Source organism: Homo sapiens, chromosome 3 (genome assembly GCF_000001405.40).
Source record: "Homo sapiens chromosome 3, GRCh38.p14 Primary Assembly".
Lineage (NCBI taxonomy): Eukaryota > Metazoa > Chordata > Mammalia > Primates > Hominidae > Homo > Homo sapiens.
The window spans coordinates 70,788,298-70,803,290 of record NC_000003.12 but is presented as its reverse complement, the minus strand read 5'-3'; the positions used below and the strand labels follow the sequence as shown (position 1 = coordinate 70,803,290).

At 37.3% G+C, this 14,993-nt stretch overlaps 1 annotated feature.

The window, feature by feature from the left end:
- Positions 13,530–13,748: a silencer, noted in NCBI's record as "fragment chr3:70838694-70838912 (GRCh37/hg19 assembly coordinates)". NCBI's record gives its function as "represses an EF-1alpha promoter that drives an FKBP-Casp9 reporter gene in an ReSE screen in K562 erythroleukemia cells {active_cell/tissue: K562}" and the evidence as "EXISTENCE:reporter gene assay evidence [ECO:0000049][PMID:32094911]".

Below are 14,993 nucleotides of genomic sequence, written 5' to 3'. Positions count from 1 at the left end.
CAGAAAAGGTGAATCAATTTTGCTTAAGCATAATGTTGAACAATTAAAAAAAAGCATCTGAGCAGGTCTGACATAGATAAAACCAAATTATGAGGCAGTGGAATTGTAAACAAAACACACTTTAACATTGGCAATGGACTTGACCATTCAAAATACAGTTAATAAGTTTCCAAACATGCAAGTTCTAATTTTAAAATTAAGCCTTCTAATTGCCAATTTCAAAAAAATGTAATGAGTTTAGAGTGGCCTTTTTATTATGCATGGTTTTATGTCTTTGGATTTCAAAATTACCTAGCATGCATTTTCAACTTTGCTACAATTTCCGGGCTGTTTTCATTTCTATTTAAAAAGGCTAAACAGTAAGATGTGCCTCTGCTTTGCATTCTGATTGCATGTAACTGATTTGCACAGCAGAACAAAAAACTCATTTTCAGATTAAGAATCGTGCACCAAGAAATAATTATTGTTCTACTAGAAAAAAATATTTTCCCACTTTCTCCCCTCATTTACGTGAACTGTTTGCCATGTTTCTCCCAGGTTGCTATCTTTTATAGACCACCATGCATTGCTCTTTAGGGACTCAAATAATGCAAATGGAAACAAGGAACATACAACTGTTTTGACTACATTCTTCTGCTTGCAACATAACACTTGCCTTTTATTATTTTATCTTCAACAATCAAGGGGTGACTAAATGGTTGCAGGTGGTGATGAAAATAAAAGCCATCCATCATTATTTATTAGGCATGAAAAAGATACACAATAATGTAATTTAATCTCAGAGCAGACAATTATTTCCACATATTGATAATACAATGTGAAAACTGTCATGAATTCTAATATGATATTTTGGCTTTATTGGTACGCCACAGCCAGCATGACAAATAATGAAATTGTATCAAAAAGAAAAAAAAAGGTAATTATGTGCATATGTCAATATCATGGGTGGAAAACATATCACCACATCTTTAAAGCTTCTTCATTATAACTTGACGAATTCAAAAGTTTGAAGTGGAAAAAGGTGTATTTCCAGTTTTCACTATTTAAGACAAAATCTATTACATTTGCACCACAACCTAGAATCTGAGTAAACACTGATGATGTGTTTTATCATATAAAATTTTTGAGAAACAGACAGTCTGCTAAAATATTTGCGAGAAGTATATATGCACTATAGGCTCAAATTTCTAACATGTTCTTTGGTTCACTTTAGTCTGGTAAAAATTTGCAGATGAAAACTCTGTGATCTCTAGTTTGAGCAGCATACACATGCCTATTAAATGTAGCAAAGAACGTACCTTTTAGCCAAATAAAGCAAATGGTTGAAAATAAACATCTTTGGTAGGAAAAATCCTGACTGATGAAATGTTTGGTTAAAAAAAGTGAAAGCGAATTTTTCATTATGTTAAATGATTTCTATTTCTCTTAGGTTGCTGAACTCCTTTCTTCAAATAGGCTTTGGTAGGAGAAAATAGGACAACAAAGAGACAAACTAGCATTTGATCTGTGTAGATGGGAACCAGAAACGTTTTCTGACTCCTATTTGAATAGATTTTAGTTTCTGTAAAGGAGTTATCATGATTAGAGACTTTCCAACTTAGAAATGAGATCGTTTTTAAAGTACCTTTACTTTATGCGGTATACACACACACACACACACACACACACACACACACACTCATTCTACAGCACATATACGCAGCATGCTCTGTACTTTCTTGGAGACTAATTTATTCAGGGTTCACATATAGATTACAAATATATTATTGGATAAGATAAATGATCTCCTCTTAGAAAAATGCCTTTTAGAATTATTAAGGAAGAAAAATATTTTAGACTTGGCTTTGAGTGGTGGGCAGGACCTGGAAGAAAAAGTATCTCTGAGTGATCACAACACTGTGACCATTCTGGGCTGGGAGAGAACATTTATATATCATGTGGTTACTCAATTTTATAAAAGGAACCTAAGAACAAGTGTAGGCACTGGTTAGGAAAAACAAATGAAAGGAATAATTTAAAAAGTCAATAAGCCACAGGAAATCTGGAGACTGTTTAAAAACACCTTACTGGAAGCCTAGCAAAAGTATGTGCCAGAGATCAAAGGGACACTTGGAAATGTGGCCCAAGTAAGGAAACCAGGGAGATCCGCAAACTATGGCAGGTCAGGTGTGAACAAGAATGCAGGCAAGCCAAAAGAGAATTCAAGAGTACCTTGCAAGTGACTCCAAAGCTAATAAAAATGTTCTTCAAAATATATCCATGGCAGGAAACCAAATAGAGAACTAATGGGCCGATCAAGTGACCCACTCTGGGCAGAAGAGATATTCTTCTTGGAAGACAGAAACTCTTCTGACTTGACTAAAAATGATTCATTTATTCATTTGTTTATTCAGTCCTTCCATATTTTCACACATTCAAACATCTATTCATCCATCTATTCAGTTATCTATTCACTCAACAGCAAAAAAAAAAAAAAAAAATGCAGAATGTGCTACCACAAGCCAGACTTTTGAGTTCAGTACTGGGAATATAATAGAAATATACATCATTCACTTATTCATTATTTTCACTCATTCAATCATCTATTCACTCATCCATCCATTTGATTATCTATTCATTCTACAAAAAAATTACAGAAGGTCTATCATGGAATAGACCCCGCGTTAAACACTGGGAATATATTAATATATAAGACATTCATTCATTCAATTGATATTTGTCTACTATGTCCCAAGCACTGGTTTAATTCTTTGAGATACATCAGTGAACGAAAGATACAATATCGCTGCTTAAATCTAGCTTCCTTTCCAGCAGGGAAGAGCAGTGCAGGTAGGCAACATAAACAATTAACAACTGATCATGAAATCACAATCAACCGTTTAGTATGAAAGTATTATTATGAAGGACAAGTTCAGGTAGCTATGAGTGTCTGATGGAGGCTCTGTCTGATGTAGAGAGTAGCACCCCATTCAAGGACTGGAAGAAACACGAGGGAGGAAGAGAGAAGCCAGAGATCAGTATGGTGAGATGACACAAAGACCACATTCTGTTGGGCTTGAAGGGCTATGTGAAGAATGCTAGATTTTACCTAAAGAACAATGGGAAGACACTGAAGGATTTTAAGCAAGAGTGATCTGCTTCAAAAGTTTGACACTCTTCTGTTCAAAACCCTGTGATGATTCCCTATTTCAAATAGGGTAAAAGCTGAAGTCTTTACAATCACCTCCAGGAACCTCCATGTTATTTTCTCTATAGCTCTCCAACTTAACTTTTTTTCACCCCTATCCACTGCTCATGGTGCTCTAGCTACACTGGTCTCTGTGCCCACTGGCTATTTCCCCCTGAAATCCAAATGGCTAATCCTTATCTTATTCAAGTCCTTTCTCAAATGTCATCTTGTCTATCAGGCATATCCTGAGCACCAGACTTAATACTGTAACTTCCCTACTACATCTACTTTTACCTTGCTTTGCATTTTTTCTCCCCATAGCACTCATTACCTTCTGATTTTCAGCACAATTTATTTATTATGTTTTGCACATTGTCTATACCCTGGCCCTCCTCTACAAGTCATATGTACTCTACATGAGGGAAGCAATTGTTATCCTTTGTTCACACATTTATCCTAATCCACTAAAACAGTGCCTAGGACATAAAACTCAATAATCATTTGCTAAATAAACCAATTAATAAATGCATTGGTCAACAAAATCATATTGGCATTTTAAGAAAATTACACTGGCTGAAACTTGAAGAACAAGTTGGGAAGGGTTAAATGTAGATGTAGAAAAACAAGAGGCTATTTTGAGGGTCCAGTAAAAAAACAATGAAAACACAGACTAGGGAGATGATGGCAGAAATGAAGAAAAGTAAACTGGTTTTAAGGTATTTTTTTTTTTTAGATAGAATCATCAGGCTCTAGATTGGATACTTACAGCTAAACCTGGCTCACACTGATTTGCAAGAGCTGATTTTAAATTTTCAGAAATTCTGTGAGTTGGTTGTAAGCACAGATATTAAAAATTAAATTATATAAACTTATAATAAATTACATCAAAACACGGGTAATAAGTACTCAAAAGCCATTCATTCCTAATTATTTCACTACATTTTGCTATTAGCTAACTCTTGAGATTATTTATATCTGTGGTGCTTTTTGGTGAAATACTATATGTTGGTGTATTATCACACAAATCTTTCCAATTCACATTCAGTTATGTCATATTGGTAGCTTGAAATCAGCTATGGTGGGAGGATTTGCTCCTTGGTAATTGTCAACTACTATAACTAAGGGCTTGATTTATTGCACTATTGATTTTCTAGACTTAAGCAAGTGATGGAGAAAGTGTCAATGATTCAGATTAAATTTAAGTGTGTCATGTCTGTAGATGTCTCATTGTTAAATCACATGAAATAGAGAAAATATTCTTCCAGTGTGTAAAAACAATCATTTGATCCATCAAAGAAGTCTTTCACATTATGGACAAAACAATAAAATTTCAGCATATGTTTTTATTGTTTCACCCTTGTCTTACTCTTTAATGTAAAGGAAATGATCAACCAACACACATGTCAGAAATACTCTTGTCCGTTAGTTGCAACAATAAGTTGGCTATGGATCTAAGAGTTTGGCAAAAAACAATGAAAGTATTCTGTGAGAATCAATATGCTATATGAAATTTACAATAAAGGGTATTGTATATTTTATTATTATTCATAAACTGTGTGCTATAGTTTTATATCAATATTATCTATGATAAATCTAAATATGTATGTATACACTATTATTATTTTTTAAGATAACTTGTTGTTAAACATTATACTACTGAGAATATGGGTCAAGAGAAAAGAAATAGCCAAAGATGGCTGCCAGTTTCTGTCTTGTTAACTGCCTGAATGGTGCTCCTCATTCCCGTATAGGGGAAACATTAGAGAATAACTAGGTTTGTTGGCTAGGGATAGGGAAGAGAGTGTCATTGGTTAGGCTGGGCGATAGTGAGATTGAAGAAACAGACTTCAAGTTCAGGTGGCCAGGTAGACAGACAGTGCTGGAAAACAAAAGAGAACTCTAAGCTGGAGCCATCATTTGGGTGATTTCTGTAAATCGTAATTAAAGACTTGAAAGTGGATTGAGCAATTCTGAGTGTTTTCTCCAAATTGACTTCTGAAGCAGAGTTTGGAATCATTTGGATAAAAGTGGCAAATATTGGATGTTGTAGTCTGATTAACAAATTAACAGTATGTATATAACCAGGGCTAAATAATATCCTCCAAGAATATTGGAGGTTTAATCAGGGATATAGACCAGGGATATGTTCTCTTTTATTAGAGAAGAGTATCTTAGTTAAATGGACAGTGTCAAAGATATAGACCGTTGTTGAGGGCCTGGGGTAAGTAAGTAGGAGATTATGATGGGTGCCCTGTGTGAGTAGACTTGAGTTATTTACTTATTAGTTACCGATAGTTCTGAGTACTGTTAGTAGGATTATTTAATTACTAGCTAAAATAAAACATAGGGGGTCAGATCCTCAAAAATAGGATCTTTCTCTGAGGTCTTCATCTACCTGTTAAAGATCCATGAACTTTTACTTCTGGGAAGACAGGCAGATGTGGTTTTCTCTACTCCATAGACCCCTGAAAAGTGGAGTACAGAAGATAGACCAGGTAGGGACTTTAGGATTTAAGGAAAAAGATGGAAGTGAATTTCCAGGGCTTCCTTTTTGTGTCATATATCCCAGACTTGGAGCTGAAGAAGCCAGCAATCCGGCACTGCCAATGGGCCCAGGAAAAAGAAAAGCAATCCCAAACAAAAGTCTACTATCTTGTCAAAGGATTAGGAAATGGCAGCCTACCAGAAAACTTGTAGAAAATAACCATTCTATTCCAGCCAAACACCACTGAAAAAAATGTGGTCTCACCTGACCCACACCAGCAAAGATAAAGTGGGGAGCCTAGATGCCCACTTTTGTGAGACTGTAATGAGGCTCCCCAACACTACCACTAGGCTAGTGTCAGAGAAGGCTGAGTAGAGAGCCCAGATTTTTACTGAGTAGTCATGAGACACCTCAACCCTCATCCCCACTGTGTTGCTGGGCATTGCATGGGAAGCTGAGACTTCCATCCCCACCCGGCAATAATGTGGAGCCTACCATCACCTCTAGCATCAACAAAGGCCAAGTTAAGAACATGGACTGCTATCTCATTTGGCAGTGACAAAACATTGCTTCTGCCTTCCCTGCTGAAGTGGTGATGGAAAACTTCAGCTAAGGGGCCATTCCAAGATGGCCAATTAGGAACAGCTCCAGTCTACAGCTCCCAGAGTGAGTGACGCAGAAGATGGATGATTTCTGCATTTCCAACTAAGATTGGAAGACAGTAGTGGTTCTCCCAGCATGCAGCTTGAGATCTGAGAATGGACAGAGTGCCTCCTCAAGTGCGTCCCTGACCCCCAAGTAGCCTAACTGGGAGGCATCCCCCAGTAGGGGCAGACTGACTCATCACATGGCTGGGTACCCCTCTGAGACAAAACTTCCAGAGGAACGATCAGGCAGCAATGTTTGCTGTTCACCAATATTCGCTGTTCTGCAGCCTCCGCTGCTGATTCCCAGGCAAACAGGGTCTGGAGTGGACCTCCGGTGAACTCCAACAGACCTGCAGCTGAGGGTCCTGGCCATTAGAAGGAAAACTAACAGAAAGGACATCCACACCAAAACCCCATCTGTACGTCACCATCATCAAAGACCAAAGGTGGATAAAACCATAAAGATGGGGAAAAAACAGAGCAGAAAAAGGGAAAATTCTAAAAATCAGAGTGCCTTTCCTCCTCCAAAGGAACGCAGCTCCTCACCAGCAACAGAACAAAGATGGATGGAGAATGACTTTGACGAGTTGAGAGAAAAAGGCTTCAGACGATCAAACTTCTCCGAGCTAAAGGAGGAAGTTCGAACCCATGGCAAAGAAGTTAAAAACTTTGAAAAAAGATTAGACGAATGACTAACTAGAATAACCAATGCAGAGAAGTCCTTAAAGTACCTGATGGAGCTGAAAACCATGGCACAAGAACTGCGTGACAAATGCACAAGCCTCAGTAGCCGATTCGATCAACTGGAAGAAAGGGTATCAGTGATGGAAGATCAAATGAATGAAATGAAGTGAGAAGAGAAGTTTAGAGAAAAAAGAATAAAAAGGAACGAATAAAGCATCCAAGAAATATGGGACTATGTGAAAAGACCAAATCTACGTCTGATTGGTGTATCTGAAAGTGATGGGGAGAATGGAACCCAGTTGGAAAACACTCTGAAGGATATTTTCCAGAAGAACTTCCCCAATCTAGAAAGGCAGGCCAACATTCAAATTCAGGAAATACAGAGAATGCCACAAAGATACTCCTCGAGCAGAGCAACTCCAAGACAAATAATTATCAGACTCACCAAAGTTGAAACGAGGGAAAAAATGTTAAGGGCAGCCAAAGAGAAAGGTCGGGTTACCCACAAAGGGAAGCCCATCAGACTAACAGCTGATCTCAAAGCAGAAACTCTACAAGCCAGAAGAGAGTGGGGGCCAATATTCAACATTCTTAAAGAAAAGAATTTTCAACCTAGAATTTCATATCCAGCCAAACTAAGCTTCATAAATGAGGAAGAAATAAAATCCTTTACAGACAAGCAAATGCTGATTTTGTCACCACCAGGCCTGCCCTAAAAGAGCTCCTGAAGGAAGCACTAAACATGGAAAGGAACAACCGGTACCAGCCACTGCAAAAACATGCCAAATTGTAAAGACCATTGAGGCTAGGAAGAAACTGCATCAACTAACGAGCAAAATAACCAGCTAACATCGTAATGACAGGATCAAATTCACACATAACAATATTAACCTTAAATGTAAATGGGCTAAATGCTCCAATTAAAAGACACAGACTGGCAAATTGGATAAAGAGTCAAGACCCATCAGTGTGCTGTATTCAGGAAAGCCATCTCATGTGCTGTGACACACATAGGCTCAAAATAAAGGGATGGAGGAAGATCTACCAAGCAAATGAAAAACAAAAAAAGGCAGGGGTTGCAATCCTAGTCTCTGTTAAAACAGACTTTAAACCAACAAAGATCAAAAGAGACAAAGAAGGCCATTACATAATGGTAAAGGGATCAATTCAACAAGAAGAGCTAACGATCCTAAATATATATGCACCCAATACAGGAACACCCATATTCATAAAGCAAGTCCTTAGAGACCTACAAAGAGACTTACACTCCCACCCAATAATAAGGGGAGACTTTAACACCCCACTGTCAACATCAGACAGATCCACGAGACAGAAAGTTAACAAGGATATCCAGGAATTGAACTCAGCTCTGCACCAAGCAGACCTAATAGACATCTACAGAACTCTCCACCCCAAATCAACAGAATATACATTCTTCTCAGCACCACACCGCACTTATTCCAAAATTGACCACATAGTTGGAAGTAAAGCTCTCCTCAGCAAATGTAAAAGAACAGAAATTATAACAAACTGTCTCTCAGACCACAGTGCAATCAAACTAGAACTCAGGATTAAGAAACTCACTCAAAACCGCTCAACTACATGGAAACTGAACAACCTGCTCCTGAATGACTACTGGGTACATAACGAAATGAAGGCAGAAATAAAGATGTTCTTTGAAACCAATGAGAACAAAGACACAAAATACCAGAATCTCTGGGACACATTTAAAGCAGTGTGCAGAGGGAAATTTATAGCACTAAATGCCCACAAGAGAAAGCAGGAAAAATCTAAAATTGACACCCTAACATTACAATTAAAAGAACTAGAGAAGCAAGAGCATCTACACATTCAAAAGCTAGCAGAAGGCAAGAAATAACTAAGATCAGAGCAGAACTGAAGGAAATAGAGCATAACTGAAGGAAATGGAGACACAAAAAACCCTTCAAAAAATCAATGAATCCAGGATCTGGTTTTTTGAAAAGATCAACAAAATTGATAGACTGCTAGCAAGACTAATAAAGAAGAAAAGAGAGAAGAATCAAATAGACACAATAAAAAATGACAAAGGGGATATCACCACCGATCCCACAGAAATATGAACTACCATCAGAGAATACTATAAACACCTCTATGCAAATAAATTAGAAAATCTAGAAGAAATGGATAAATTCCTGGACACATACACCCTCCCAAGACTAAACCAGGAAGAAGCTGAATCTCTGAATAGACCAATAACAGGCTCTGAAATTGAGGCAATAATTAATAGCTTACCAACCAAAAAAAGTCCAGGACCAGATGGATTCACAGCCGAATTCTACCAGAGGTACAAGGAGGAGCTGGTACCATTCCTTCTGAAAGTATTCCAATCAATAGAAAAAAAGGGAATCCTCCCTAACTCATTTTATGAGGCCAGCATCATCCTGATACCAAAGTCTGGCAGAGACACAACAAAAAAAGAGAATTTTAGACCAATATCCCTGATGAACATCGATGCAAAAATCCTCAATAAAATACTGGCAAACCAAATCCAGCAGCACATCAAAAAGCTTATCCACCATGATCAAGTGGGCTTCATCCCTGGGATGCAAGGCTGGTTCAACATATGCAAATCAATAAATGTAATCCAGCATATAAACAAAACCAATGACAAAAACCACATGATTATCTCAATAGATGCAGAAAAGGCCTTTGACAAAATTCAACAGCCCTTCATGCTAAAAACTCTCAATAAATTAGGTATTGATGGGACGTATCTCAAAATAATAAGAGCTATTTATGACAAACCCACAGCCAATATCATACTGAATGGGCAAAAACTGGAAGCATTCCCTTTGAAAACTGGCACAAGACAGGGATGCCCTCTCTCACCACTCCTATTCAACATAGTGTTGGAAGTTCTGGCCGGGGCAATCAGGCAGGAGAAGGAAATAAAGGGTAGTCAATTAGGAAAAGAGGAAATCAAATTGTCCCTGTTTGCAGATGACATGATTGTATATCTAGAAAACCCCATCGTCTCAGCCCAAAATCTCCTTAAGCTGATGAGCGACTTCAGCAAAGTCTCAGGATACAAAATCAATGTACAAAAATCACAAGCATTCTTATACACCAAAAACAGACAAACAGAGAGACAAATCATGAGTGAACTCCCATTCACAATTGCCTCAAAGAGAAGAAAATACCTAGGAATCCAACTTACAAGGGATGTGAAGGACCTCTTCAAGGAGAACTACAAACCACTGCTCAATGAAATAAAAGGATACAAACAAATGGAAGAACATTCCATGCTCATGGATAGGAAGAATCAATATCGTGAAAATGGCCATACTGCCCAAGGTAATTTAGAGATTCAATGCCATCCCCATCAAGCTACCAATGACTTTCTTCACAGAATTGGAAAAAACTACTTTAAAGTTTATATGGAAACTAAAAAGAGCCTGCATTGCCAAGTCAATCCTAAGCCAAAAGAACAAAGCTGGAGGCATCAAGCTACCCGACTTCAAACTATACTACAAGGCTATAGTAACCAAAACAGCATGGTACTGGTACCAAAACAGAGATATAGACCAGTGAAATGGAACAGAGCCCTCAGAAATAATACCACACATCTACAACTATCTGATCTTTGACAAGCCTGACAAAAACAAGAAATGGGGAAGGGATTCCCTATTTAATAAATGGTGCTGGGAAAACTGGCTAGCCATATGTAGAAAGCTGAAACTGGACCCCTTCCTTACACCTTAGACAAAAATTAATTCAAGATGGATTAAAGACCTACATGTTAGACCTAAAACCGTAAAAACCCTAGAAGAAAACCTAGGCAATAACATTCAGGACATAGGCATGGGCAAGGACTTCATGTCTAAAACACCAAAAGCAATGGCAACAAAAGCCAAAATTGACAAATGGGATCTAATTAAACTAAAGAGCTTCTGCACAGCAAAAGAAATTTCCCTCAGAGTGAACAGGCAACCTACAGAATGGGAGAAAACTTTTGCAATCTACTCATCTGACAAAGGGCTAATATCCAGAATCTACAATGAACTCAAACAAATTTATAAGAAAAAAACAACCCCATCAAAAAGTGGGCAAAGGATATGAATAGACACTCCTCAAAAGAAGACATTTATGCAGCCAAAAGACACATGAAAAAATGCTCATCATCACTGGCCATCAGAAAAATGCAAATCTAAACCACAATGAGATACCATCTCACACCAGTTAGAATGGCAATCATTAAAAAGTCAGGAAACAACAGGTGCTGGAGAGGATGTGGAGAAATAAGAACACTTTTACACTGTTGGTGGGACTGTAAACTAGTTCAACCATTGTGGAAGTCAGGGTGGTGATTCCTCAGGGATCTAGAACTAGAAATATCATTTGACCCAGCCATCCCATTACTGGGTATATACCCAAAGGATTATAAATCATCCTTCTATAAAGGCACATGCACACGTATGTTTATTGTGGCACTATTCACAATAGCAAAGACTTGGAACCAACCCAAATGTCCGACAATGATAGACTGGATTAAGAAAATGTGGCACATATGCACCATGGAATACTATGCAGCCATAAAGAAGGATGAGTTCATGTCCTTTGTAGGGACATGGATGAAGCTGGAAACCATCATTCTCAGCAAACTATCGCAAGGACAAAAAACCAAACACCGCATATTCTCACTCATAGGTGGGAATTGAACAAGGAGAACGCTTGGACACAGGAAGGGGAACATCAAAACCCGGGGCCTGTTGTGGGGTGGGGGGAGGGGGGAGGGATAGCATTAGGAGATATACCTAATGTAGATGACGAGTTAATGGGTGCAGCACCCCAGCATGGCACATGTATACATATGTAACAAACCTGCACATTGTGCACATGTACCCTAAAACTTCAAGTACAATTAAAAAAAAAAAAAAAAGAAAAAGCTGGATAAGCTACAAAATTCTAACTTTTCTGGAACCCATCAGAGAGGTTAGGTTACAGGGTAACCAGGTAAATAAATTGCAAAAGTCAAAAAGCCCCCTCTGAAGACAGATGGGACGCATGAACTGATTCACCTTGGGTAGAGCATGAGAGGAAGGAAGATAAGGTAATTCAATATTAAAGGACAAGCAAAACCAAGAAAGGGCCATTATATTAGTACATTTTCATGCTGCTGATAAAAACATACCTGATACTGGGCAATTTACAAAAGAAAGAGGTTTAATTGAACTTATAGTTTCACGTGGCTGTGGAAGCCTCACGATCATGGTGGAAGGCAAGGAGGAGCAAGTCACATCTTATGTGGATGGTGGCAGGGAAAAAGAGCTTGTGCAGAGAAATTCTCATTTTTAAAACCAATAGCCCTTGTGAGACTGTTTCACTATCAGGAGAACAGCATGGGATAGACCCACCCCCATGATTCAATCATCTCCCACCGGGTCCCTACCACAATATGTGGGAGGCTACAAGATGAGATTTGGGTGGGGACACAGAGCCAAACCATATCAGACATCTTATGACAAGGTGGAGTATAAGTGGAGGCATTTAAATACCCTTGACTGTCATTGGAAACCATGCTGCTGTGAGGTATTTAGTCAGGAGGTTACATTTTAATCAAAGTGATGTCATTGAGAGTTTATTTAAAATAACATTCATAAACACCTGTGCAACAAGTGTATTCCTCTTTATAGAACAGATGTGTTCCTGAAAAGTTGTGCATCGAATAAAGTTGTTCAATTAAGTCTGTTTTCTTCCATTGTTGTCAATGTTTCTTCCGTGTTGTATCAATTTCTCACTAATCTTCATTGACCACTAAGCTTAATGTTTCTTTGCTATCCTCCTCTACCAAATTAATTAATCATAAAAGCATCAGGGATATTTTGATGATTGAAGAGATTTTTTTTCTATAAAGAGAGAAATACTTCTAAGTCAGCAATGGTCATTTAATTTATAGTCTCAAAATAGACAACACCAATTCTCACATTTAAAAAACTCTAAGTGGAATACTGTTGTATAGCAGCATACTGATTCTAAACATAAATATACTCTACAAGGACTGTTCAAAAAGTAATTTATATGAATTTTTAAGATATTGATTTTATTGCAATGCAAAATAATTATTACAAAAATATAAACAGAACTTCCTATCACTTTTCCGTATAAATTCCTTGTAGAGTAAAACATTGATTATGATATAATGGTATTGATTATAATAGAATTATGACATAATCAATGAAATAAGTTTCACTGATGATGAAATAAAATGTAGTGTCTTTAGTTGCAAATAAAAAAAAAAGAAAAATTCAGCTAAAACAGAGGTTTAAATAAAATCTCGTAATATAAAACAAAAATGTCTAGATTTCAACTGAAAACATCTATAATACTAAGAACCAGTAAGATCTAAGTCTGACTGAAAGAAGACAATCAACAGATACCAGCACCAAGATGACAGAGACATTAGAATTATTGAAGATTTTAAAACAGCCATGCTAAATATGCTGAATAAAAAAATTACAAATCTGCTTGAAACAAAGGAAAAAGAGAATGTCTGAATGAAAAAAATCTCAATGAAGTCTCAATGAAGAAATAGGAGATATAAAACAGAACTGAGTGGAAATTTTATTTTTTGAGCCAGGGTATCACTGTGTCACCCAGGCTGGAGTACAGTGGCGTGATCTCAGCTCACTGCAGCCTCAACCTCCCAGGTTCACACCATCTTTTCCAACTCACCCCTCAAGTAGCTGAGACTGCAGGCACAAGCCATCATGCCAGGCTGATTTTTGTATTTTTTTTTGTAGAGATGGGGTTTCACCATGTTGCCCAGGCTGGTCTGAAACTCCTGAGCTCAAGCAATCTGCCCACCTCAGCCTCCCAAAGTGCTATGATTACAGGCGTAAGCAACCAGGCCTGGCCCCAGGTAGAAATTTTAGAACTAAAAAAATATGATAATCAAAATAAAAAGATTGGTGTGTGGACACAACAGCAGAATGGAGGGAAGAGAACATAATCAATGTGTTGTGAAAAAATAACAATAGAAATTATCCAATCTGAACAACAGAGAGAAAATAGACTGAAAAGATCTGAAAGCATCTCTCAGGGACCTGTAGAACAATCTTAGATAAAGGAAAACTAAGAATTTGTTTCCAGCAGATCTCATTTAAAAGAATGGCTAAAGGAAGTTCTCTAAACACACACACACACACACACACACACACACAGACACACACACACACACAAAGTTAAAAGAAGGAAACTTGGAACAAGGAGGAAGAAAGAACATGATTAGCAAAAATATGGGTAAATACAATAGGCTTTTCTTCTCTTCGATTTTCTAAGCTATTTTTGATAGTTGAAGTAAAAATCATAACATTGTCAGATTTGGTTCTAAATGCATTAGAGGAAATATTTAATACAACTACATTATAAATGAGGACAGTAATGGAATGTAAAGGTCTCTATCTAGAGCAACAACATAAAAAGCTAAACATAGAGATATCCTCAAAAACACTATATATGAACAAAAATGGGATCTAAAAAATGTTCAGGTAACCCATAGGAAGGCAGGAAAAAGAAAACAGAGGAATAAAAAGCAGAGAGAAAACAAAAATTAAAATGACAGACATAAGTCTTAACATGTCAATAATTATTTAAATGTATATGGTTTAAATATATACATTAAAAGACAAAATAGATTAAAAAACAAACTTACTTCAAGTAAAACTTACTTCAAATAAGATGTATGCAGGTGGAAAGTAAGAAGATAGAAAAAGATGTATTATGCAAACATTAATTAAAGAAAGCAGGAATGGCTATGTTAATATCAGATAAGTAGACCTCAGATCCAAGAATATCACCAGAGATAGAGACATTACATGGTGATAAAAGTCTTAGTCCACTAAGGTATATGCACCAGGCAACAGAGCTAAAAAATATGTGAAGGAAAGATTGATAGAACTAGAAGGAGAAATAGAGAAATCCCAGATTATAACTGGAGACCTCCATACCCTACTCTCAACAACTGATT